The sequence below is a fragment of the Homo sapiens genome, chromosome 13 (genome assembly GCF_000001405.40).
Source record: "Homo sapiens chromosome 13, GRCh38.p14 Primary Assembly".
In the NCBI taxonomy this organism is placed as follows: Eukaryota; Metazoa; Chordata; class Mammalia; order Primates; family Hominidae; genus Homo; species Homo sapiens.
Window position 1 is genome coordinate 48,074,954 of NC_000013.11, and position 24,590 is coordinate 48,099,543.

General features: G+C 39.2%; 1 protein-coding gene and 1 long non-coding RNA gene across 3 annotated transcripts, besides 1 other annotated feature; one reads left to right on the top strand and one right to left on the bottom strand.

Moving 5' to 3' along the window:
* Nucleotides 1-770: 770 nt before the first annotated feature.
* Nucleotides 771-20,151, bottom strand: MED4 (mediator complex subunit 4). 2 transcript variants are annotated; one of them, NM_001270629.2, is made up of 7 exons: nt 20,107-20,151; nt 15,399-15,465; nt 11,329-11,499; nt 8,418-8,475; nt 6,692-6,778; nt 4,891-5,022; nt 771-2,358 (listed from the first exon to the last, which is right to left on the bottom strand). In NM_001270629.2, the coding sequence occupies exons 2-7, from the start codon at nt 15,450-15,452 to the stop codon at nt 2,186-2,188; spliced, it is 675 nt and encodes a 224-aa protein (NP_001257558.1). In that variant the 5' UTR covers nt 15,453-15,465; nt 20,107-20,151; the 3' UTR covers nt 771-2,185. The 2 variants fall into 2 exon arrangements, with proteins under 2 accessions (NP_001257558.1, NP_054885.1); NM_014166.4 differs by having other exon boundaries at nt 20,001-20,151.
* MED4-AS1 (MED4 antisense RNA 1) lies at nt 2,184-5,040 on the top strand. Its single transcript, NR_046511.1, has 3 exons — nt 2,184-2,398; nt 2,489-2,600; nt 4,824-5,040. It is a non-coding gene; the product is annotated as an MED4 antisense RNA 1 (long non-coding RNA).
* Nucleotides 19,360-19,654: a silencer, noted in NCBI's record as "tiled region #5997; K562 Repressive non-DNase unmatched - State 2:TssF". NCBI's record gives its function as "represses a minimal TATA promoter and a strong SV40 promoter by Sharpr-MPRA in K562 cells {active_cell/tissue: K562}" and the evidence as "EXISTENCE:reporter gene assay evidence [ECO:0000049][PMID:27701403]".
* Nucleotides 20,152-24,590: the final 4,439 nt, after the last annotated feature.

Here is a 24,590-nt window from a genome sequence, read left to right on the forward strand (position 1 = left end):
GCAGGAGAATGGCGTGAACCCAGGAGGTGGAGCTTGCAGTGAGCCGAGATAGAGCCACTGCACTCCAGGCTGGGTGACAGAGCAAGACTCCGTCTCCAAAAAAAAAAAAATTCAGAAATATATAGACTTATGATATTGACTTAGTACTGATAGAATGTATATTTGTGTAATTTTCAGGGGAAAAGTTTGGATTATTTCTGATAGGCTGGATAATGACCCCCTTTCCCCAAAGATGTCTAAATCCCAATCTACAGAACCTATGAATGTTGTTTTGTTACATGGCAAGGAAGAATTAAGGTTGCAAACAGAATAAAGGTTGCTAATCATCTCACTTTAAATAAGAAGATTATTCTGGGTTATCCAGTGGGCTCAGAATGATCACAGGATCCTTTAAATATGGGACAGGTAGGCAGAAGAGCATCACAGTAATGCAGAATGAGAAACACTCACCAACCAGGGGCCTGGAGCAGGACCAAGGGCGGCCTCTAAAACCTGGAAGACACAGGGGACAGATTCTCCCCTATGGCCTCCAGGAAGGAATGCAGCCCTGCTCACACCTTGATTTTAGGTGAGACCCACTTCACATTTGTGATGTACAAAACTAAGATAAATTTGTGTTGTTTTGAGCCAAGTTTGTGGTAATTTGTTACGGCAGCAACTGAAAACTAATACAGTATTAAAGAATTTGAAAAACACAATCCTTTTGAATCTACCCTAAAGATTTGGTGATAAAAACAGGCAGTTACATTATGGCACATACCACAATAAAATTTTAGCCATTAAAGTAAATCTTTCAAGAATGTATACACATGGATCAATATTCCTAGTATACGGACAAGGCAAGGTTAAAATTAGATATTGTGTTAGTCCATTCCTAAAAATAACCCTGGAGGGAAAGACATTCAAACATTGTATGTCCTTAATTCTAGATGGTGAAAATATAAGATTAATCTCCTATTTTCCAATTTTTCTAGAGATCGAAAATAATCAAAAGGAAAAAATGATGGAAAAATGGAATTCTCAGTTCATTTGAAGAATACAGATTAGCAATTAAAAAATACAGCAGTATCTCAGGAAATAAACATTATTCTCATTTTACAAAAAAGTGTATGTGAACTTTAAAAAAATCTACACTACAATATGAATTGATATTATCTCTGGGTAGAATGCTAACAATTTTATTTTCTCCTTTACTGTATTCACTAAATGTTTCACATTAAATGTTGTATTACCTTTGAAATCAGAAGATACATTGTCTAAAACTGATACATCAAGAAATAGTTGTATAAGCATATTACCTAAACACAGAGGTTACCAACAGAAATTAAAAGTGGTTAAAAATGACTCCTGGGGAACTGTAAGAAGAGGAAGGTGAAGGGAAGAAATGGTTGCTTTCCATTCTAAATCTTCACACAATCTATTCTTAAAATCAGACAAGGCTGTGGTAAATTTTTTCAATTATTAAAAAAAATTATTTCTTCTAATAGGAATAGGCCTTTGAGAACCCTATTAATTGTAATAGGTTTCAATTCAGTTAGTCACTCAAGTATTATAAAATGCAACTGGATTTACAGAAATAATTTCCTACCTACACTGACAGTATATTTAAACTAAAAAAAAAGCATACAATGTACAAACAAATTTATTTACAAAAATTACAATTACAAACTGTACAAATTGAGACAATTTCCCATGCCTCCAACAGAAGCCAAGAGCCTTTACTGTCAAATGGCAGTTTTTGTTACTTTTAAATGACACACAAAAAGAAATATGATGCCTATTCAGTCATCCACTGCCAGTTTAAAAATGCTTTTCTAAATAATTCCAAGAAGCCTATTAGTGATATGTATATGGATAATTTCCCTCAACTCTATTTCTAGAATGGCTATGTACAAATCCAGCAAAACTGGAACAGAACAGGGTAAGAAAGCACATAGCAACTGCTTTTTCAACAGTAAATTTTGACTATTCCCCTAAATATCTACCTAGTGGCTTAAAACTAAAACTATGGTCTTTGGCTTTAAAAAGAAAGTCAAAAAATTTTGACTTTTAATGACTGCACAATTCTACCAAAGCCAGTGTTTACCTGGGTATTTTTTGTCACCTGTAGTTTACATTTCCCTGCTACTGTTAAAGAAACAGAATTCTACAGTATTCAATTCTGTATATTGTCTTTTAAGGTTTTTCAATCAGACTCACTACTACTGCTTGAGGAGTCCGTTGACATAATCTCTACATCATCTTCATTTTCTTTATTATGCCCAGGAGGTTCCAACAAAAAGTCACTACTATGATTTGGTGGTAACATATTCATCGACATGTCATTTGACTGCCATGGATACTGTGGAGCAAGGACATCTGGAGAAAAAAAGAAGCATAGATAAGAACAGCTCTATCTGTAATTAATCTAGTTCTTACTTTTCCCTTTATGCAACAATTTGAAGTATTTTTTTTAATTTTACTTTTTTCTCTTCTTTTTTTGACACAGGGTCTCATTCTGTCACCCAGGCTTGAGTGCAGTGGCACGAATACATCACTGAAGCCCTGACCTAGGCTCAAGCAATCCTCCTGCCTCAGCCTCCTGAGTAACTGGGTTACAGGTATGTGCCACCATGCTTGAGTACTTTTTAAAGTTTTTGTAGAGATGAGGTCTCACTATGTTAACCAGGCTGGTCTCCAACTCCTGGGCTCAAGCTATCCTGCTACCTCAGCCTCCCAAAGTGTTGGGATTACAGGCATAAGCTATTGTGCCAATTTTTTTAAGACTAGGAAAAAAATACACATTTAGCCAAATTAATAAAAATCAAATTTATCAAGGAAAAGTTGATATTTTAGCAACTGGGGACTTTTTTAAAAAAATCATACTACTCTGTAAGAAACTATTTAGTCAGTTGACATAATTTTTCTTTTGTAAGACATTTGTAATTACAAATTTTTCCTGTATCTATGTATCTATTATATGCATATATAATACATACTTATGTATACTAGGTTATGTAGATTATTCTACATATTATAAACAAGTAATAGGTACTTTAGTATTATAATAGATTTGAATGATTTCTTGATAGAGGAACTGCTATTGTAAGTGACTCTCATCAAAGAGAGGTTGATTAGCAATGTATGCATATGAAATACCTTAAAAAAGGGCCCAAGTTACATTTAAAGTCTGTATTTCTGAAGCAAAGGGACAGAGCACATAAACAGGTATAGTTCAAGACTCAAATAAAGAAGGCAGATTTTTAAAGGGTCAAAAGAAAGAGTTATGGTATTAACTAGAAAGGTATGCCAGTTAGCCTCAAATCTACCCTTCTCTCTGGCCCCTGAAACCATTTCTCCTTTGCCAGCTGCCACAATTAAGTTTTGTCAGTAGAGGGCACAGGTGGGACTCCACTAGCAAACAAGTTTCACTTCCTGGATCAGGTGGTTTTGTCTCCTTTACTGCTGTGATGCCTGGTTGGTGTGCAGGACATTAAGTGGTGTTCACCACAGCAACTTTCGGTGGCGCCTCTAAAGGTGGTTTCCTAGCAGGTTTCACCAGAATCCCAAAGGGCAGCTTCCCAGCAAGTCTCCCTGGAACCCCAGTGGGTAATTTCCTGCTTGCCAGCTCTGGCCTCTGATGCCTCATCTAACTTCTCTGCCATGGAGTGGGCCACATTACACTGCACCCTCTCCAATGACAGCACCATGATATGAGAGTATCGGCCTTGGGATGGAGCTGGGGAAGACTGTTTTTAGGTCTGTCCCTTCCTTGGTCCAAAATGTGGCAGTGACTCCCCATATCTGTTTTTCCTGTACTTTTAAAACATGAGAAATATGAGGTGATATCCAAGGATATCACAGTTGAGTTCCCCTGGTTGTACTTTAGGTAGCTAACAAAAATGATGCATACAAAGCATTATTAATGACACAGGGACAGCCTTATGATGTAACATTAAGCAAAAAATGTATAGGGGAAAAAAGGAAACAGGCTAAAATATTTAAAGTGACTGCCTCAGAAAGGGTATATTTTTTTCCTTTTTTAAATGCCTTTTTCTACTTCCCAAATGTTCTACCACATCAAAACAAAAGTCACCTACAAACTATAAAAGATGAGGAATAATATAAAACAAATATATATAAAAATAGCACAAACCTATGAAAAACTTGAGGAAAACTGAAGCTCAGAATGAACTGGGTCTCACAGAAATACTATTTTATAAAGTTATAAAAGTTTATAAAAAGCTATTGTTATTCATTTTGTTAACTTGGGGGTTGTTCAGGAGTGTGTTCACTTTATTCCGTAAACTATCTTACTCTATTTACATAGCATGTTTCACAATTATAAAAAAGCTATGTTTAGAGCAATAATTTAAAAAGAGAGGCCAAATGCCTGAGGAAGACAGTGTAATATTTACAAATAAGAGAAAGGCAGCTTGTTCTAATTTCATACCTCCCTCAAGGAGAATCTTTAGAGCAGAATAAACCGGCAAAGAATCTAGCTATTACAATGAACTGGGTCTGAGAGGCAGGCACACTGGCTCACACCTGTAATTCCAGTACTTTGGGAGGCTGAGGCAGGTGATTGCTTGGGGTCAGGAGTTCGAGACCAGCCTGGCCAACAGAGCGAAACCCCATATCCACTAAAAATACAAAAATTAGCCAGGCCTGGTGGCACACACCTGTAATCCCAGCTACTCGGGAGGCTGAGGCACAAGAATCACTTGAACCTGGGAGCCAAGATTTCGCCAACACGCTCCAGCCTGGGTGACATAACAAGACTGTCTCAAATTTACAAAAAAAAAAAAATTGTGTCGGGAATCTCAAACTTGCTTTACCGCCAGATATTCCAACCTTGTCATCTCTGGAAAACCCTGATCTGTTTGAAAACACTCTTCGGCTTAACATTACCTGGCAATCTTCCTGCTGCAAGTGCATCTCCTGGTAAATGGCCATTCACGCCATTAGTGGAAGGATTGTTCATCTGACCCAGTAACCCACTTCTCATCTCTAAATCAGTTGGGTAGGGTCTCCGGGGGTCCCCTAAAACAATAAAGACTGCATTTAATTCAATCATATTTTAAAAAATAAGTGTTAATATGTTATTTGACATACTCATTTTCGCTGGTTCATGCTGAAAAGTTCAGGCTACATTTTCAATTTTGAAATACAGAAGTCATCTGGCCAGGTGCAGTGGCTCACGCCTGTAATCCCAGCACTTTAGGAGGACGAGGTGGGTGGATCACCTCAAGTCAGAAGTTCAAGACCAGCCTGGCCAGCATGGTGAAACCCCGTCTCTACTAAAAATAAGAAAATTAGTCAGGCGTGGTGGCACGCACCTATAATCCCAGCTACTCGGGAGGCTGAGGCAGGAGAATCGCTTGAACCCGGGAGGCAGAGGTTGCAGTGAGCTGAGATTGCACCACTGCACTCCAGCCTGGGCCACAGAGCAAGACCCTGTCTCAAAAAAAAAAAAAAAAAAAAAAGAAAGAAAGAAATATAAAAGTCACCTTATAAATTGTTATTAATAGCATATTACTTTTTAAAATACACGCATTTTAATTTCTTTTCTGAATCTTCCCAAGAATATACTATTTTCTACACTTTAAAAAAAAAGAGATGTCATTTTTTTGTAGACATTCCAGATGACAACTTAAGAAAATTATAATAATCTCAATTATTCAAACTTAACTGTATTTTCTAGCAAGAAAATGACAATGATTATGCTGCAAGGGAGAAAAAAATCATGACACTTATAAGACAGAAAGGACTGGAATGTTTAATAGAAGGACTGTCTCAATTTAAAATCTTTTTTTTTTTTTACATTTTTCATCTTTTTGTTTTACTTTTATTTTCCTCATGCCACCTTGTCTAAGATAAAACCTTTTTCTAACCAACCTCTTTGATCTTGTAATTCAGAAACTAATTCGTGTAAGTGGCAAAATAGCAGGAGCAGGTAATGTCCATCCCAAACATGAAAGCACACTAAATAGCAGTATGTGGTTGACAAAAACTTGACCAGATTTGGATTGACTTTTTGGGCACATCTCACCAACTGCAGCTTATCCATCCCCAAAATTATAGTCACCCTTAGTGCTTTCAGCATGGTAACACAGCACCTTCAGAAGTTATTTTGAAGTGGAGATAACTACTAATATTTCCCCTTCCTCCAATAAGGCTGCTACCTTACGTCTCCTGTTTTATGTTTCATCCACTGTCAATATAGTTGCAGCTTGATCCTCTCTTTTGCTGTCTAATTATCCCAGCTCTTTCCAAGCCTGTATGTTCACTGTTGGGTGCGTAGTGCTTTGTCTTTAGCATCTAAGAGAACTGGAATTGTCTTTCTCAGGCTGGAACCTTTGTGGAAATCCTAATGGCTCTAAAGAGTTTGCTTCTGGCCAGCCCTGATAAAATGGTATATAAATCCAAAGCTTTAGAAGCATCACATTATTATCTCGTACTTTAAAAAATTATCAATTTATTATTTCAAAAGACGAAAGAAACACAGTCCCTAGCAACAATGGCTTCACAGAAAACCAAATTTATAAAACCCATGGCCTATATCATTACTTATAAACCATTAAAGATGTGAAAATATGTGGCAGAGGTTTCTAAGGATAAATACATTTTAAATTAAATCTATGTCTGTACATAGTCACCTAAGAATCTTCAAAACCACATATATCTAGTATAATAAGACGAGTATGTTTACCTGGAACCCAGGTCAGTGGAGCACATACAGCATTACTTGCACTGATCCTATGTGCATACTTAATTATTTCTTCAGAGGAGATAGCACCTGAAAGAGTTTTAAGAGGACAGTATAACCTGTAGTCTAACAAACATACAAGTTTAGAAATGTATCTATCAGTTACACATCGTATTTAATTTTAAATTATCTGAAAATAAAATAATCTCAGTCACCTGCCTTCCTTAACAATACCTACATGTTTAGTATAAACTTAAATCTCCAAAAACAGGACACTAATCCAGAAAAATTAGCTGACATAAACAAATTTCGGAGATTAGCACCATAGCACTCAATAATCTCAATTATTAACTACCGTTAAATACCATTCCTCTTCTGAAAGCATAGTGAGCACAAATAAAATAGAGAAAACAGTGTTTCATTTCTCAAAGACATCCAAGCTATGAAATCAGAGCAGACAGTTCACACCACTCTGTTCGATCAATATGCCCTAAGGCTCTTAAGTAGACCTAAATAGAAAGATGTCTACAATGTATTCATTAGGTAAAAAAAAAAACTAAACTGCTAAATAATATGTACGGTATGACCCGACTGTTCAAAATGTATGTACATATGTGTATTTGTATTTTTATTACATACATACTCACAGATCTAGAAAAAAAAAATCTAGGACATATACCAAACATTAATAGTTACCTCTGAGAAGTGAGAACCACACACTTCATTTTACAAACTTTAGATACTGTTTCAATGTAACAAAGTGTATGTGTGTACAGTTTTTGAAGATTAAAAACAGAATCAAACAACGGTCTAGAAGTCAACAGCCAGCCTCAGCCATCTCTCCTAGAGATTTGTTTCTTGCTACAGAAGCCTAACCTAACTCTCAAAAGAATATTAGCTATTTGGCTGGGCGCAGTGGCTCATGCCTGTAATCCCAGCACTTTGGGAGGCCGAGGTGGGCAGATCACGAGGTCAGGAGATCAAGACCATCCTGGCTAACACAGTGAAACCCCGTCTCTACTAAAAATACAAAAAATTAGCCGGGTGTGGTGGCGGGCGCCTGTAGTCCCAGCTACTCGGGAGGCTGAGGCAGGAGAGTGGCGTGAACCCGGGAGGCGGAGCTTGCAGTGCGCCGAGATCGCGCCACTGCACTCCAGCCTGGGCGACAGAGCGAGACTCCGTCTCAAAAAAAAAAAAAAGGAGTATTAGCTATTTAACAGAAGCCTTTGAAAAAGGGACAGCAGGGCAGGAAGGCATGTGGGCCTCTGCACCACCAAATGTGCTTATATGCCAAGGGTATAACTGGCTCTGACTTCATGTACGTCTGGCTCTGACTTCATGATGTTTCAGTCCCAGCGCAGTTGCCCAATGGATGTCTTTTCACTCTCTCTGTCCTAACCTTCAAGATTTGGTACAAATCCCACTTCTAACCCATACTTCTCTTTCCCTCTCCCACCAATTTTATAAACTCACTGTTTTTACTGCACATTTGGGCACACAGCCATAAACTGCCTTGTATTAATTGCTTTTTATAATCTGAAAAAAGATGTGATACTTCTACCTCCCTCACAAAACCCAGCACAATGCTAGAACACAACACACTTTACAATAAAAATTTACTGAATCTTTTCAACAGCAGCAAATGATTATCAGTAATATCCTCTTGTATTGGTTTCCTGAAACCAGAACCTTAACTTTTCAGGTCATTCAGTCTTCCCATGATACTAACCTTTTCTTGCTTTTTCTATTGACTTGAGTTTCTCCTTCGCTTGGTAAACAGCTGTTGCCTAATTTAAACAACATTTAAAAAACGTGGTTTATTCTTCAACTATATCAAACTTAGTTTTTGGCTTAATTCACAAGATCCTTTAGCCTACAAGAACAATCTTTGAAACTTGGAAATCCCAACAATTTATTTGTAATGTTCTGAAATACCACTTGACATTATTTATTTCAGTCATATTTAATGAAAGAAATATTATATTTATGAACTAGTCTCCCATTCACAAATTAGTTGTAGAAACAAAACATAAATTGGATTGTCTTTTTCTTCACGTCTTCTACCATAAACATGCAGAAGACACCCAGACTATGGACGACCCCAAAAGCATCCTATTCTTGCAACTAGTTCAAGAATAAAATACCCTTTTTTCCCCTAGTTTGGAAGATACAACCTTGAATTCATATTCTTATTCGTTTATATATCAGCTCAATGTTTAATGACTTTATCACAAAAACACTCCCTCCAAGCCCTCAGGTACACTAAAGGACAAAATGAAGTTAACCTAGTATATGCATATCTTCGACTATGACACTGTGGTTAAGAGTATGGAGTCAGGCCAGGCACAATGGCTCACACCTGTAATCCCAGCATTTTGGGAGGCCGAGGCAGGCAGATCATTTGAGATCAGGAGTCTGAGACCAGCCTGACCAACACGGTAAAAACCCATCTCTACTAAAAATACAAAAAATTTATATGGGCATGGTGACACACGCCTATCTCAGCTACTTGGGAGGCTGAGGCAGGAGAATCGCTTGAACCCAGGAGGCAGAGGTTGCAGTGAGCCAAGACTGTGCCATCGCACTCTGGCCTGGGCAATAGAGCAAGAGCAAGACTCTGTCTCAAAAAAAAAAAAAAAAAAAAAAAAAGAGTATGGAGTCAGAGAGATCAAGGTTTAAATTCAATCTACTTTTTAGCCTCCATGGGCAAGTTAGTTATTAAAGTATTGGTTTCTTCCTCTAAATGACGACACTGACTTGATATAAACTGTTAGGAAGATGGAAGTAATGCATATAAAATGCAAGGCACAGGGCCTGGTGCCTAAGTGCTCAATCAATGTTAGTTACTACTATTTAAGTCATGAAATTCAGTTTTATGGTCCTGTGTTCACTGTCTTTAATTATTTATAACACAAAGTGGGAAAATCAAACAAAGTGGATACAATTATATGAAAAATGCTTAAGTTTCAATAAACAGTAATTGAAAGTCTGTTAGTATCCTGCTAACTACAATTACCTAAAAAATTAATACACCTGAGACTCAAAGGAAATAGACCAAACTATGAATAGTGGCATTCTTTCCGCAGCTGAACTAAAGACAATTTTTTCCCTCTTCTTTCCATTTTTCTGTATTTTCTGAATTTTGTTTGATAAGCAAGTATTACATACATAAGGATTTTTATATACATATTTACAGATTTTAATATATATATAATATATACAAACATATAAATAATATATTTTGAGACAGAGTCTCCCTCTGTCGCCCAGGCTGGAGTGCAGTGGGGTGATCCCAGTTCATTGCAACCTCTGCCTCCCGGGTTCAAGAGATTCTCCTGCCTCAGCCTCCCAAGTACCTGAGATTACAGGCGTGAATCACCATGCCCAGCTAAATTTTTTTGTATTTTTAGTAGAGATGGATTTCACCATGTTGACTAGGCTAGTCTTGTACTCCCGACCTCAGGTGATCTGCCCACTTTGGCTTCCCAAAGTGCTGGGATTACAAGTGTGAGCCACTGTGCCCAGCTAATTTTTTTTTTTTTTTTTTTTTTTGAGAGTCTTGCACTGTTGCCTGGGCTGGAATACAATAGCGCAATCTCAGCTCACTGCAACCTATGCCTCCCAGGTTCACGCGATTCTCCTGCCTCAGTCTCCTGAGTAGCTGGAATTACAGGCACACACCACCACACCTGGCTAATTTTTTGTATTTGTAATAGAGACAGGGTTTCACTATGTTGGCCAGACTGGTCTCGAACTGAGACTGGTCTCAATCACAGACTGACCTCGCGATCCACCTGCGTTGGCCTCCCAAAGCCCTGGGATTACAGGCATTAGCCACCATGCCCGGCCTGATTTTAATATATTTTTAAAAACTATTTACTAGTGAGTTGTTTCCTTAGTAGAGGTGATTAATTTACCCTGAACTGCCCAGGCTTCTAGTTACTGGAGCTCATTTTAATACATTTGTTAAGAGATTAATCAGTGGTAAGGATGCCAGCAATGTCTGGTCGACATGAGAATCAAGCTCAGCTATTTCTGCAATACTATCATGTTATATTAGTTAGTATTTAGTGAAGTAACTGGGCAAATAATAGCAAATAAGTTGCCTCTTTGAAATAGTAGCCAAGAACAGCAAAGGGAAAACTAGGATCCTTGATCTATGTCCAAATCCTACCTAGATGAGGATGAATGACTAAATTAATGTCAATTTTAATCAATTTATAAAATGTGTATATATTTTTATTGATTTCAAAATATATAAAAAATGAAAAATTTCCCTGATTTTTATGCTAAGGATCAGAGACCAAAAAAAAAAAAAGAGAGATTTAGACTACTGATAATTAAAATTTATATCAGACCAGGATAAAAGTAAAACTTTCCATTTCTATAATTCAATACTGTAAAATCTTTAAGCATCGAAAATGTGGCTCACAAGTAATGCAGACTATTTGAAAACAGTAAGTAAAAAAGAGAATGACAATAGCCTTTCATTTAACCACTGGCAATGGTGAGTGACAAGATATCACCTTTAGACTTGGAAAGTCTAGTTTTCTGCTCTTCAAAATATTGATAACAGATTTTTCAGAAACAGATTAAACAACATCCTTTTTAACCTTAAGAACCAACCTCTGTCAACTTACCAGTATTTGTTCTGCTTCCTTTAGCTGTTTTTGTAGCTGCTGAATATCACTGTCTCTCTTCTCTACTTCTTTTTCTAAAACTTGCATTTCATGATGAATTTTTCCCTGATTAAGTGCCAATTTCATTAGTTCTTGAAATTCCCCATCTCGGTGAATTAACAACTCCAGGACCTGTCAGATAACAGTCAATTAAATCAGACAATAGACTACTGAAAGGCTGCATTCCAATGAAACAAAGAATCCGTAACTGAATTGGCTAGGCTATAAATTTCAACACCTTCAAAATTTTATTCCTAATTCTTGTTAAGAATAAAAAGAGCCTACCTATGATTATTTTGGGAAACATTAATATCAAACTTTTCTACTTTTTCAGATATTCTTTCATACAAAACAAAATAAAACTAGCCTTTCAGAACTAGCAATATGGCAACATGAGCAAGTTTAGTGATTTCCTAGGGAAGACACGATTTTAAAGTTTATCCTTATGGCTGGGCACAGTGACTCATGCCTGTAATCCCAGAACTTTGGGAGGCTGATGCGGGCAGATCACTTGAGGTCACGAGTTCTAGACTGGCCTGGCCAACATGGTGAAACCCCATCTCTACTAAAAATACAAAAATTAGTTGGGTGTGGTGGCGCCTAAAATCCCAGTTACTCAGCAGGCTGAGGCAGGAGAATTGCATGAGCCTGGGAGGTGGAGGTTGCAGTGAGCCAAGATCACGCCACTGCACTCTAGCCTGGGTGACAGAGTAAGACACTGTCTCAAAAAAAAAAAAAAGTTTATCCTTAAAAATACAATATAGGCCAGGCGCGGTGGCTCACGCCTGTAATCCTAGCACTTTGGGAGGCCGAGGCAGGCGAATCACCAGAGGTCAAAAGTTCGAGACCAGCCTGACCAACATGGAGAAACCCCATCTCTACTGAAAATACAAAATTAGCTGGGCGTGGTGGTGCATGCCTATAATCCCAGGTACTCAGGAGGCTGAGGAAGGAGAATCGCTTGAACCCGGAGGCAGAGGCTGCGGTGAGCTGAGATCGCGCCATTGCACTCCAGCCGGGGCAACAAGAGCGAAACTCCATCGCAAATATATATATGTATATATAAATAATGAAAGTTCTCCCAAAATTTGGTATTTGAGATGATTTTAGGTGGCACCAAGAACTTAAGAAAACTTTTACACTTACACATTTGTGCTAATATATATTAGAAAAAACTGAGACACTGAAACTCTGAGTTTATGCACAGTATTGTTTACAATGAAGATGATCTTAAAAATACGGTGATTTCGGCCAGGCGCAGTGGCTCATGCCTGTAATCCCAGCACTTTGGGAGGCCGAGGTAGGCGGATCACAAGGTCAGGAGTTTGAGACCAGCCTAACCAACATGGTGAAACTTCGTCTCTACTAAAAATATAAAAATTAGCCGGGGGTGGTGGCACATGCCTGTAATCCCAGCTACTCAGGAGGCTGAGGCAGAAGAATTGCTTGAACCCAGGAGGCGGAGGTTGCTGTGAACCCAGATCACGCCACTGCACTCCAGCCTGGGTGACAGAGCAAGACTTCGTCTCAGGAAAAAAAAAAAAATACAGTGATTTCATAAAACAGTAAACAAACAAGTGGTATGCAGATACGGCAAAAACCATGAAGGCTAAAACACATAAAATAGAAAGTCTGGTGGTTCATATCTCTAGTCCTCCATCTGCTAGCTGTGTGACACAGGGAAAGTTACCAGCCTCTCTGAGCCTGTGTTCTTAATAGGAAAAGGAATATAATATTAATAGTAGCCATTACATGAAGCTATTGTGAGGATTCATGATATATTGCACTTTAAGTACATACAGGAAGAGTTCAGCAAAGGCTAGTTATTACGATCACTACCCCAGTACAGAATTAAGATGCAAGTCTAGTCTAAATATCCTTTACTGTGCTAAGTAGAGAATACTACTTCAGAAAGAAAATATCTATCAAAATTCAGAATCAATTTTAAAACTATTTAAAAAGATTTGTTGAAGACTAAAAAGTACAGGTATGCCTCTTCAAGATCCTTTTGACATGAAGTTCTTCTCATTTTATAGGAATTCTTCTAATACAATAGACAAAAGACTGAGCTACAAACTGCCAAATATTAAGAGTATTTTAAATAACAACAGAAAGCTTTTTCTGTAAAAAGTAAAGTATATTCTATTTATTTAACAGACTTCTAATCCTCATTCCTCCCACATCGTAGGAGAAAGCTAGGTTTCCATTTCTATAAAAGCTGTATTATTAAAGCAAGTAGTACACAGTAGTTCCCTGACAACTTTCAAGAAGTTTACACAGGTTGAATTAATTTGTATACTACCCATGAGTAAAAAATATTCTCTTTAGATCTTATTGTTCAGTAGAAAAAAATTATTCAACTAAAGTCAGAAGACCTAGGTTCTGGTTCCACTCACCATTAACCTCTACCTCATCCGTCCACCCTGGAGCTTATTCTCACAGGAGGTTGAACTGAACATCGTTAAGATCCTTTCTAATTCTAAAATTCTATATAAAATTATAAATATCCAAATAAAATGGTGGCTAGAAAATTTTCAAATGGGCACATCCCTCTCTAATAGTAACAGTTTCAATGAAAATTACATAGGAATCCACAGTACTAAGACACAATTCACAAATTGCTACTCTTTAAAAAGTGCAAGAAAGATCAGTGCTGATTATAGGTCTTAATTATCACCTTCTGAATAATCTGTGTGCCTGGCTCATAGCAAGCATTTAATAAGTGTCTATCAAATAAAGTCAAGCCTTGCATTTTACTTCTTGCATACTTTGTATAAATTCCTATTTAATCCCACGGGTATTAACAGAGTACCTGAGAGACTAGTAGTCTTCTATTAACATATTTATCTCTAGCCTCTTTCTTTTTTGAAAAAAAACAAAACAAAAACCTTACTACCCCTAAGGTTAGCTGTTTCTCCTAGCTTGTGGCCTCATCTGGATCCCCTCCTCCCCTTTTGAGGCTCACTGACACTTTTCTATTGAGTCCGTCAGATTTCCCTGCCCTCAAAACGTAAGACAGAACTAAGGTAATGATGCAGACAAAAGATTTATTACTGTCTCCTCTTCTCCTTTACATCATCTTTAGAAAGGTTAATCCTCTCCATTCATTTTCTCTTAAACATTTTTTTTGGCCAGCTATGGTGGCTCATGCCTATAGTCCCAGCACTTTGGTAGGCCAAGGTGGGGAGGATCCCTTGAGGACAGGAGTTCAAGACAGTTCAAGACTGACCTGGGCTACACAGTGAGACTATGTCTCTACCAAAAAAAAAAATTTCTTTTAAATTAGCAAGGCATTATAGCGCATGCCTATAGTCCCAGATACTGGTGAGGATAAGTGGGAGATCGCTTCAGTCCAGCAGGTTGAGGCTGCAGTGAGCAGTCATCATGCCACTGCACTCTAGCCTGGGCTACAGAGCGAGAACTTGTCTCAAAAAAGAAAAAACTGTGCCAAAAACATAATATAAAATTTATCCTCTTACCTCTAAAAAAATTCTGAATCAGGAAAAAAAGTCTGTTCACCCACCATGGAAAATTAGAAAGCACCGAAAAGTGAGCAAATAAAAACTGCCCGTACTTTCACCCCTATAAGGCAATGTCTAATAAGAGTTGTATGCTCTTTTATTTCCCTGCATGTTCAAGTTGCATTAGGGAACTATACTTACAATACACGGTAAGTTTTTGAGCATTAACTTTTGATTCTAAATATTGTTGTAATCTCCATACAACAAGCCTTTCTTGGTTAATTCAAAGGACAAAAATAAATAAACATGTAAGTGTGACTAGAATTGTAAGAGAAAATAACAAAATACTGCTAAACCCTCAGGCAACTATTCTTCTTAAGCGCACTGTTATCTTAAGTAAATGATACAAAGAAAATACCAATATTAAAGTTTTAATTAATAACTTAAAAGGATCCAACATTCCTGTTCCCACACAAAGTAAATATAAAGAGGAAACTTGCAGAAATCAAGTTTTTTTCTTTTAATTAAAAAACAAAGAGAAATTAACTAATTTAAAAAGAAGCCACTTACCTGGTTTTCCTCTCCAGCCTGTAACAACTTTTGGTTTCTTGAAATTGCCAGCATTTCTATAAGTTCCCTAAAAAAAAAAAACCAACAACAACAAAAACCCTTTCACAGCATACTGAACACTCAGGGCTACTCCCTACAGTCCGCTATTGACTGTGAACTACAGCTCACCAAGACTCGCTTGTGCCGGTTACCAAACTTATTTATAAAAGTTCTACTTAATACTATCATTATATAAATAGCTATCACCTAAATGCCAATGAAAGACTATTGTGAATAGAGAGAGTTCTTTCTATAAAAACCTAAGCCTAATGCTTGGAAAGACTCTACAGAGGCTTGCAAAGGACAGCTATAAAGAAAGGACCAGGGAAAAGTCATAAAAACTAAGGGTCTGCCCTAAGACTGCTTGATAAGAGGATAAGTTCTCATTTTGATTTGATCTAGAAATCAAACTACAAATTGCAGACAATGCATTATGAGCGATTTATGCAAGAAAAACTCATACATCAGGGGTCTACAGGCCAAATCCAGCACTTCTGCAGTTTTTGTAAATAACATTTTCCTAAGACAGTCTGCCCATTAATATACAAATTGTCTATGGCAGTTTTCCCTAAATACAGAGGCAGAGTTGAGTTGTTACAGCAGAGACTATATGGCCCATAAACCCAAAAGTATTTATTATCTGGCCTTTGCAGAAAAAGTTTTCTGACTCCTGTCTTACATAACATGATTAGTGAATGAACATATGTTTATATATTTTAAGGTAAAATAAAACAATTAAGGGATGCATGGACCATTTTTTAATGATTCTCCACTTTATTTGAATTTTTTAAATTAAACATCAACTAAGAGGGATCCTTACACATAATAAAATGATATCCTTTTAGAATGCTCATTTAATAAATATGACAATTTCCCTGTATGAAAATTAGTATCTGATGAGCAAAATAAGATTGGGAAAAATGTATAGCAGGTAATGTTTATATATTAGTTTCAAACTTGTTGATAGATGGGACTTTTGAGAAATTATGCAGAAGGGGCAGCTTCACAACTAGCTACCTGACACTGCTCTGATCAGCCTGAGCATTTGTACTTTCTCACTGGCTACCAGGCTATTTTTACCTTCAAATTTCCACCTTCCTTCCAGCTAGCATCATATCATTTTTCTGGATCATGTCAATTAGACCCAACCCTTCCCACTACTACTTCCCCATACCATTATTTATGAATTAATCAATGAATGAAAAAAGTAGATATAAGAATGCAAAGTCTTCATTTATTCACTAATTCATCAAATATTTATTGAGTGCCTATCATGTGCCAGGCACTTTCTAGATACTTGGGGTATCAAAGTGAACAATGGCACTTAAATTCTAATACAAGAGACAAGAAGAACTAAGAGAAGAAATAAACCTAGAGTGATAAGGGTTGGGAAGGAAATAAAGCAATGTTTTATTAGAGACTACTGGGGGAGTGGGTTGGCTACTTCAATAGGGTGGTCAGAGAAGGTCTTCCTAAGGGCACAGCTTTGACATAAGACACGGATTAAATGAGAGAAGTCAGCCAAGATGTCTGGAAGGAAAGAGCACAGTAGAAGACACAGACAGTTCAGTGCCCCAAAGATGGAGCTGAGGAGGTGTAGCCAGGGCCTGGCACAATGGGGAGAGGAAAGCAAAGTGAGGATGTAGCAGCCAGGTGGCTAGGGGTGAGATTACGTAGGGCCTTATAGTTATGGTAAAGATTAGTGTTTCATTCTTTTTTTATTTTTTATTTTTTGAGATGGAGTTTTGCTCTTGTTGCCCAGGCTGGAGTGCAATGGCGCGATCTCGGCTCACCCCAACCTCCACCTCCCGGGTTCAAAGAATTCTCCTGCCTCAGCCTCCCTAGCAGCTGGGATTACAGGCATGTGCCACCACGCCCGGCTAATTTTGTATTTTTTTTTTAGTACAGATGGGGTTTCTCCCTGTTGGTCAGGCTGGTCTCGAAATCCCGACCACAGGTGATCCGCCGGCCTCGGCCTCCCAAAGTGCTGGGATTACAGGCATGAGCCACTGCGCCCGGCCTAGTGTTTCATTCTAAATGCAATGAGAAGCCACTGGGTTATTTTAAACAGGGAAATGGCATGACCTGATTTATACTTTTAAAAACTGTTGAGTGATCTGGTAAATAGACTGTAAGAGGGCCAGAACAGGAAGTAAGTTAGGTGGTTTCTGTAGTGTTCCAGGCAAAAAATGACACTGGTTTTGACGAGGTTATAGCCTCCAGGACTTAGTAATCGTGATGGGAGAAACATGGACAGATTTCAGATATCTTTTGGAGGTAGAGCTAACAGGACTTGCTGATGGATCAACAGCGTATGAAAACAGCATGTTAAGTAAACTTTTTAGTGTACGCCACAAGTGAGACATAGACGGTTGAGAACCTCTGGTCTAAGTAAAAGCTGGTTTCAGGTGGGGCAGGAGTGGTGCTGACTAGAGTGGGGCTATGGTAGGAGATGTGGGATAAGCCTTCCTCTGTTCTTGCAAATCTGGGAGCGTGAGTCCACAGAAGGCTTTACAAGGCTTGCCTTAGGCGCCGGAGTAGAGGGGAGGTAGAAGTCTCTAAGACTTAGTCATGTTCTGTAACAGTCCAGGACAAAATAGAAACCCCTGTCCTCCCCAACTGCGAAAAAGAGGCCAAAGGAAGCCCCCACACTCAAGAGCCCTGTCCTGCTAAAAAGAAGGTGCATTCCCAGCATACTGCATTAGAATCCAGACACAATTCCCCATAGAAATAAAATTTCCATAGCGGTTAGAGCCTACATTATTAGCAGTAATACACTTTTCAGGTAAACAGAATTAACAGGCTGGTGTGGAAAACTCAAGATTCCTATCAACATGGTTCTGTGGAACAATGAGTTTTGAGTTACAAATGGGTTAAAAAAAACGTTTAGCCTACAACCTGTGTTTCAACTTTTTAAGACTATCTCCTTGCATTACATTTTATAAACTAATAAATATCCCGAAAGGCTATATAATCAGGTTAATAGAAAAAAAAAGATCCTAAGTTATAAATCCACTATTTTTAAAGAGGCTAAATCTAAAAATATGTAAGGTATATTCGTGATTTTTCTTCTCATTTTCATAAATGCAAGCCAGACACAAATTACATTCAGAGACTGACAAACTTCACAGATCACAGAATCAGTACACATAACTACCTCTGAGTGAACACATGAGACCTTTCTGGAAGCCAGTCACACCACCAGAGCAGCTTCATTCTGTGAAGAAGTTCCAATGATCCGCCCGCCTTGGCCTCCCAAAGTGCTCGGATTATAGGCGTGAGCCACCACACCCGGCCCTAATACAGTTTATTTTAAACAGTGGATCAAACACATAAGCCATTTAATTTCTGCTGTCTAGGTGTTTTCGGGTTTTCTTCCATCATTAAATATTGTGCTGACCTGGTAACTTGGTAGCAATACGATGGCAAGGACTAAATTTACACCAAAAATAAAGTGCTGATTATATCACGTATATTTTAAAATACAACAGGTAAGATTTATTCTAAAGCTGTCAAAGAATGTTGGCTATAGAAAAAGTGACATTTGAGCTGGATTCTGAAGGATATATGAATCATTCACCAAATCGGGAGTAGACTGGGAATGGCACTGAAGATGTGGAAGTCTGACTAAAGAATTTGAACTTTACCTCACTGGACAACGCAAACCTACCAATGAGGTAGCTTTTATATAATTTTTCTGCAGAAAAGTGATATAAGATGCCTTTTAAAACTGGTATCGGCCAATATAAAAGGATAAAGTGCAGAAGCATGAGGCAATTAAAACTGTTTGGGAGGCTACATTTAAGAAGGAGTTATGAACAGCGGGGTTGGAACGAGAGGGCAAATTGGAGCGACACTTTAGGAGGTAGAACCAAGATAATTTACCATCCAAGTCAATGGGAGGGAGTCAAGGAAGGCTTCAACTTGAAAGACTTATCATGAAAGGTGACAGAATATGAAGAACGACATCTAATTTCATCTCCTATCTCTGACACACAACCATCCTAAACAACTTGCAACTCCACCAAGCCAGGCTTTTTGCACTTGCTGTTCCATCTATCTGTGCTGCCTAGTGAGTTTGGCGAGCTCATGCTTCCCAAGCAGCACTTTCTTCAGAGGGCCTGCCCTGACTACAACCAAAAAAGGTGCCTAGTCCCTGTGCTCCAGTACCCCGCAGCGCAGCCCTCTAATAAAAACAGGCCCCAAGCCAGTTTACACATCTGTCTCTCTCTCGACAGCTGGCATCCAGTCTACCCTTCACTACCGTCTCCCCAATGCTGAGCCCCCAAGGAGCGTTCCATAAATGTTAAGTGGCTGGCCGCGGACGAAGAGGCTCAGACCGCGCGAGTTCTTATCATTACTAAAATTCCCTCTAACGGGAAAAACCGCCGCCCAGAGTGCCAGAGGGCTGCGGACCCCACGTCCATGACCCTCATGCACCCGAAACTCCCGAGCTGGCCCTCCCCGCCGAACCCCGAGAACGAGCACAAACGCAGGGCCGGCCGGCTCCGGGGTCAGTCCCCCGGCCCAGCTCCAGCCCGGCTCTCAGGCTCGCCGCATTACCTAGACAGGACCTCCAAGTCCTCAAGCGCAGACAGCAGCCGCTCTCGTGTGCTGTTACCACCCGCCACTCCCAAACCGCCTCCCAGCCGCTCCTTCTCCTTCTCACCACTCGAAGACGCAGCCATTTTCCCCAGAGTCCCGCCACCGGCGCACGCGCAGAGCGAGCTGACGCAGGTGCGTGGCGAGAAGGCGGGCTCGGAAGGCGGAAGAGTCACCCAGGAGAGGAAAAAGAGGCCTGGCGAGAGCGCCCCCTTTGGGCCTGGAGGCGCACTGCGGACACCGGCGCCATCTGTTGGGCCGGCGAGGGCTTTCTGGTCCAAACCCTGGGAGCGACAGCTGAACTGAGAACAGTGGGGGCAACGCAGTCTGATTCTCCTGGGCCTAATGGTTTTTTTTCTTTCTTTCTTTCTTTTTTTTTTTTTGAGACGAGTCTCGCTCTGTTGCCCAGACTGGAGTGCATCGCCGCGGATGTCTTGGCTCACTGCAAGTTCCGCCTCCTGGGTTCACGCCATTTTTCCTGCCTCAGCCTCCCGAGTAGCTGGGACTACAGGCGACCGCCACCACGCCCGGCTAATTTTTTGTATTTTTAGTAGAGACGGGGTTTCACCTTGTTAGCCAGGATGGTCTCAATCTCCTGACCTCGTGATCCGCCTGCCTCAGCCTCCCAAAGTGGTGGAATTACAGGCGTGAGCCACCGCACCCGGCCCACCTTAACCATTTTTAAGTGGATAGTTCAGTGGCATTAAATACATTCATACTGTTGAGCAACTATCCATCTCCAAAACCTTTTATCTTGTAAAACAAACTCTGTACTCACTAAATGCTAACTCCTTATCCCTCCCTTCTCCAGGCCCTGGCAACCACCATTCTACTTTCCATTGCTGTAAGTTTGGCTACTCTAGGTACCTCATATAAGCAGAATCATACAGTATTTGTCTTTTTGTGTCTGGCTTATGTCACTCAGCATTATGTCCTCCAGGTTCATCCATGATGTAGCATGTGCTGGAATATCTTTCCTTTTTAAGACTAATATTCCATTGTATGCATATGGCACCTTTTGTTCATCCATTCATCTGACGATGGACAGTTAGGTTACTTCCACATTGCTATAATCCATCTTTATAGCCATACATCTTCCAACAAAATGTTTTGCTCATTACTCAGGTTAATTATTGAACTGAAGGAACCAATACAGTACATAAGTAGTAGTTAATTAACATAGTTTAAGTCATTGATGTACCACACATTCCAAACCAGAACTGGTTGTCAAAGGCAAAAATACGTCTTAGCCTACTTTTCCTAGGGATAACAATGTAGTAGGGATCACTCTCTACCAGAAAAAAGCAAAGTTACAAGCCTATTGGGAATGAGGATTCCATATTGCTATTATAAAAGATGGTCTGGGACTGCCTCACTCCCATGAGGTAGTAGTACCTGTAGTCCTTTCATTTCAGGGTCTCATCCTCTACTCTGTCTTTTTGGAGGTGCTAAACCTGACTCCTGGGCACCCAGAGTTGACAAGTCTTTTAGAAATTCATGTTAAATAAATTCACTCATAGCAACTGCTGCGTAATCTAGAATGCTGATTTACTCACTTACGATGAAAAGTAATAGTGCCAAACATATCTTTTTCCCATAGACAAAACTATATGAGAAGCCATATTATCACAGGATGTTGCTTGTTAAACTTGGATCAGAACAAACAAGGATAGATTAAAAATTAATGACACAATCATGAGGCTTTGTGTCTCCACAGTGTAGGGATATTTGTGTTCAAGAGATTGGATTATTTGTGTTCATAGGTCAGGGTACCTTTTCCTCTAGACAGTGCAAGAGATCCTTGTCACCTTTTGTTTTCTGACCGTTCCCTGCATCTGCTGTTGGCTAACCCTTTTTTGTTAATGCAGTCAATTCTCAGGCAATGGGCTAAAGTAGATTGAAGCTTTGTTCATTACACTTGCATTCTAAACATGCCTCTCAGTACTCTAGTCAATCATTTCTTATGTTAAGTTTCCAGGGTGCCAAACTTCTGCGGTATGTGTTGGTTTTGTTTACTCAACTCTCACGGGTCATATTGAGCCATGACTCTGGTAGGAGGAGAGAGAACATTATATTAGTGTAAACATAAAAATTCTAGAAGGATTCTAATTAGTTAAAAATGACCAATTATAGTCCTACTTTGCAGACACTGAGGATCAGTGTGTGGAGCATGTATGTGTATTGTGAACTCCTGACCTCCTCAGATTTATTGCAAATTCATATGCATATTAAACAGTTTCTATAGACTGATAAGTAATAGCATCTTTCACAGATATACTGTCTTGCAAATTGTACAAATCCAGGCGTGATAAACAAATATGAATTATTTTATATAGTATTACTGAATTCATGGTAATTTGGAGTTAGGTACATATTTTCTCAATCTGTAGATTCAAAAAGGACACTACTTTCTCATGAAATTTTATTGACATGGTGGGCAGTGTTCTAAGCACTTCAAAAATATTAACTTGTTTAATTTTCCTAACACTCCTATGAGGTAAGTACTGTTACTATCCCTATGTTACAGATAATGAAACTGAGGGGCAGAAATGTTAAGACACATGCCGGGGTCATATAGTAAATGGCAAAGCTGGAATCTGAACCCAGAGTCTGGCTCCAGGGTCTGTGCTCTTTACCACTGGTTATCCCAGCTCTCTGTAAAGAAAGAAGGATATTCAGGTACTAAAAGGACTGGGAACCTCTGACCTAAAATATGAGAGGACTTCAAAAAGTTCATGGAAAAATGGAATTAAAAGATAATAATTTAAAATATAAACTTTATTTCTCAACATAAGCTCCATCTAGTTCAAGACACTTTTGTAAATGACGATACCAGCCATTTAGTTCATCCCTAAATAAATGAGGGCCCTTGGAATTTAACCGTGTCAATGCTGTCTTTTTTACTTTTTTCTTTTCTTTTTTTTTTTGCCACAGGGTCTCACTCTCTGTCACTCAGGCTGGAGGGCAGTGGTGCAACCACAGCTCACTGCAACCTTGACCTCCCAGGCTCAAGCAATCCTCCCAATACATTATTAACTGAAGAAAAATGAGTGCCCTTTACAGATTTTATTTATTTATTTAGTTTTGAGACAGAGTCTTGCTCTGTTGTCTTGCTCAAGCTGGAGTGCAGTGGCACAATCTTGGCTCACTGCAACCTCCACCTCCCGGGTTCAAGTGATTCTCCTGTCTCAGCCTCCCGAGTAGCTGGGATTACAGGCATGTGCCACCATGCCTAGCTAATTTTTGTATTTTTAGTAGAGATGGGGTTTTGCCATGATGGCCAGGCTGGTCTCAAACTCCTGACCTCAAGTGATCCACCCCCCTCGGCCTCCCAAAGTGCTGGGACTACAGGCATGAGACACTGAGCCTGGCCCAGATTTTTTTAAGATTAGGAAACAAAAAGAAGTCAGATCAGGACTGTAAGGTGGATGTTCAATGATTTCCCATTGAAACATTTCCAAAATTGTCCTTGTTTGATGAGAGGAATGAGCAGGAGTATTGTTGTGGTGGAGAAGGACTCTCCGGTGAAGCTTTCTCGGGTGTTTTTCTGCTAAAGCTTTTGCTAACTTTCTCAAAACACTCTCATAATAAGCCATTGTTATCATTCTTTGGCTTTCCAGAAAGTCACCAGACAAAATGCCTTGAGCATCCCAAAAACTGTTGCCATGCTGTTTGATCTTGACTGGTCTGCTTTTGCTTTGACTGGACCACTTCCACCTCTTGATAGCCATTGCTTCGATTTTGCTTTATCATCAGGATTGTGCTGGTAAAGCCATTTTTCATCTCCTGTTACAGCTCTTCAAAGAAGTGCCTCAGGATCTTGATCTCACTTGTTTAAAATTTCCATTGAATGCCCTGCTCTTGTCTGCAGGTGATTTGGGCATAACAGTTTTGGCATCCATTGATTGGAAAGTTTGCTCAACTTTAGTTTTTGAGTCAGAATTGTATAGGCTGAACAAATTGAGATGTCTATAGTGTTGTCTATTAATTGCTTGTCCTCTGCAATTAGGGCACAAACAAGATAAATATTTTCCTTGCAAATTGATGTGGATGGTCTGCTGCTGCAGGCTTTATCTTCAACATCATCTCATCCCTTCTTCAAATGAGTTTTCTATTTGTAAAACTGCTGATTTCTTTAGGGCATTGTCCTCATAAACTTTTCATAAAGCATCAAGATTTCACCATTCTTCCACACAAGCTTCACCATCAATTTGATATTCTTGCTTCAATTTTAGTAGAATTCATATTGTTCTGATAGGGGCTCTTGTCAAACTGATGTCTTATCCTTCTTGTGCCTCAAACTAGATCCTGTTCATACATGTTATAACAAGTTAGTATGACTTTATTTTGGTGGAAAAATATTTTGAAATGCATCTATAGTTTTTCTATAATACACACTTTTCATGAACTTTTTGAAGAACCCCTCATACAAACACTATCAAATAAATGCACAGCTTGAAATTCTGAGCAAAAAGCAGCTGCAAGCAGTTGGTGTGGAGGTTTGGAGGTGCAGCGAGAAACTCAACCAAGGCTGTCCCTAAGGGTAGGCGG

What these genes read in the sequence shown, in the direction of transcription:
- MED4 (NM_014166.4), bottom strand. Translation starts at nt 20,125, where the DNA reads ATGGCTGCGTCTTCGAGTGGTGAGAAGGAGAAGGAGCGGCTGGGAGGC. An exon ending in GACTTGGAGGTCCTGTCTAG is followed by an intron (nt 15,466 to 20,000) that starts GTAATGCGGCGA and finishes TTTTTTTTTTAG; the next exon opens with GGAACTTATAGAAATGCTGG. An exon ending in AATAGAAAAAGCAAGAAAAG is followed by an intron (nt 6,779 to 8,417) that starts GTTAGTATCATG and finishes AAACTCTTTCAG; the next exon opens with GTGCTATCTCCTCTGAAGAA.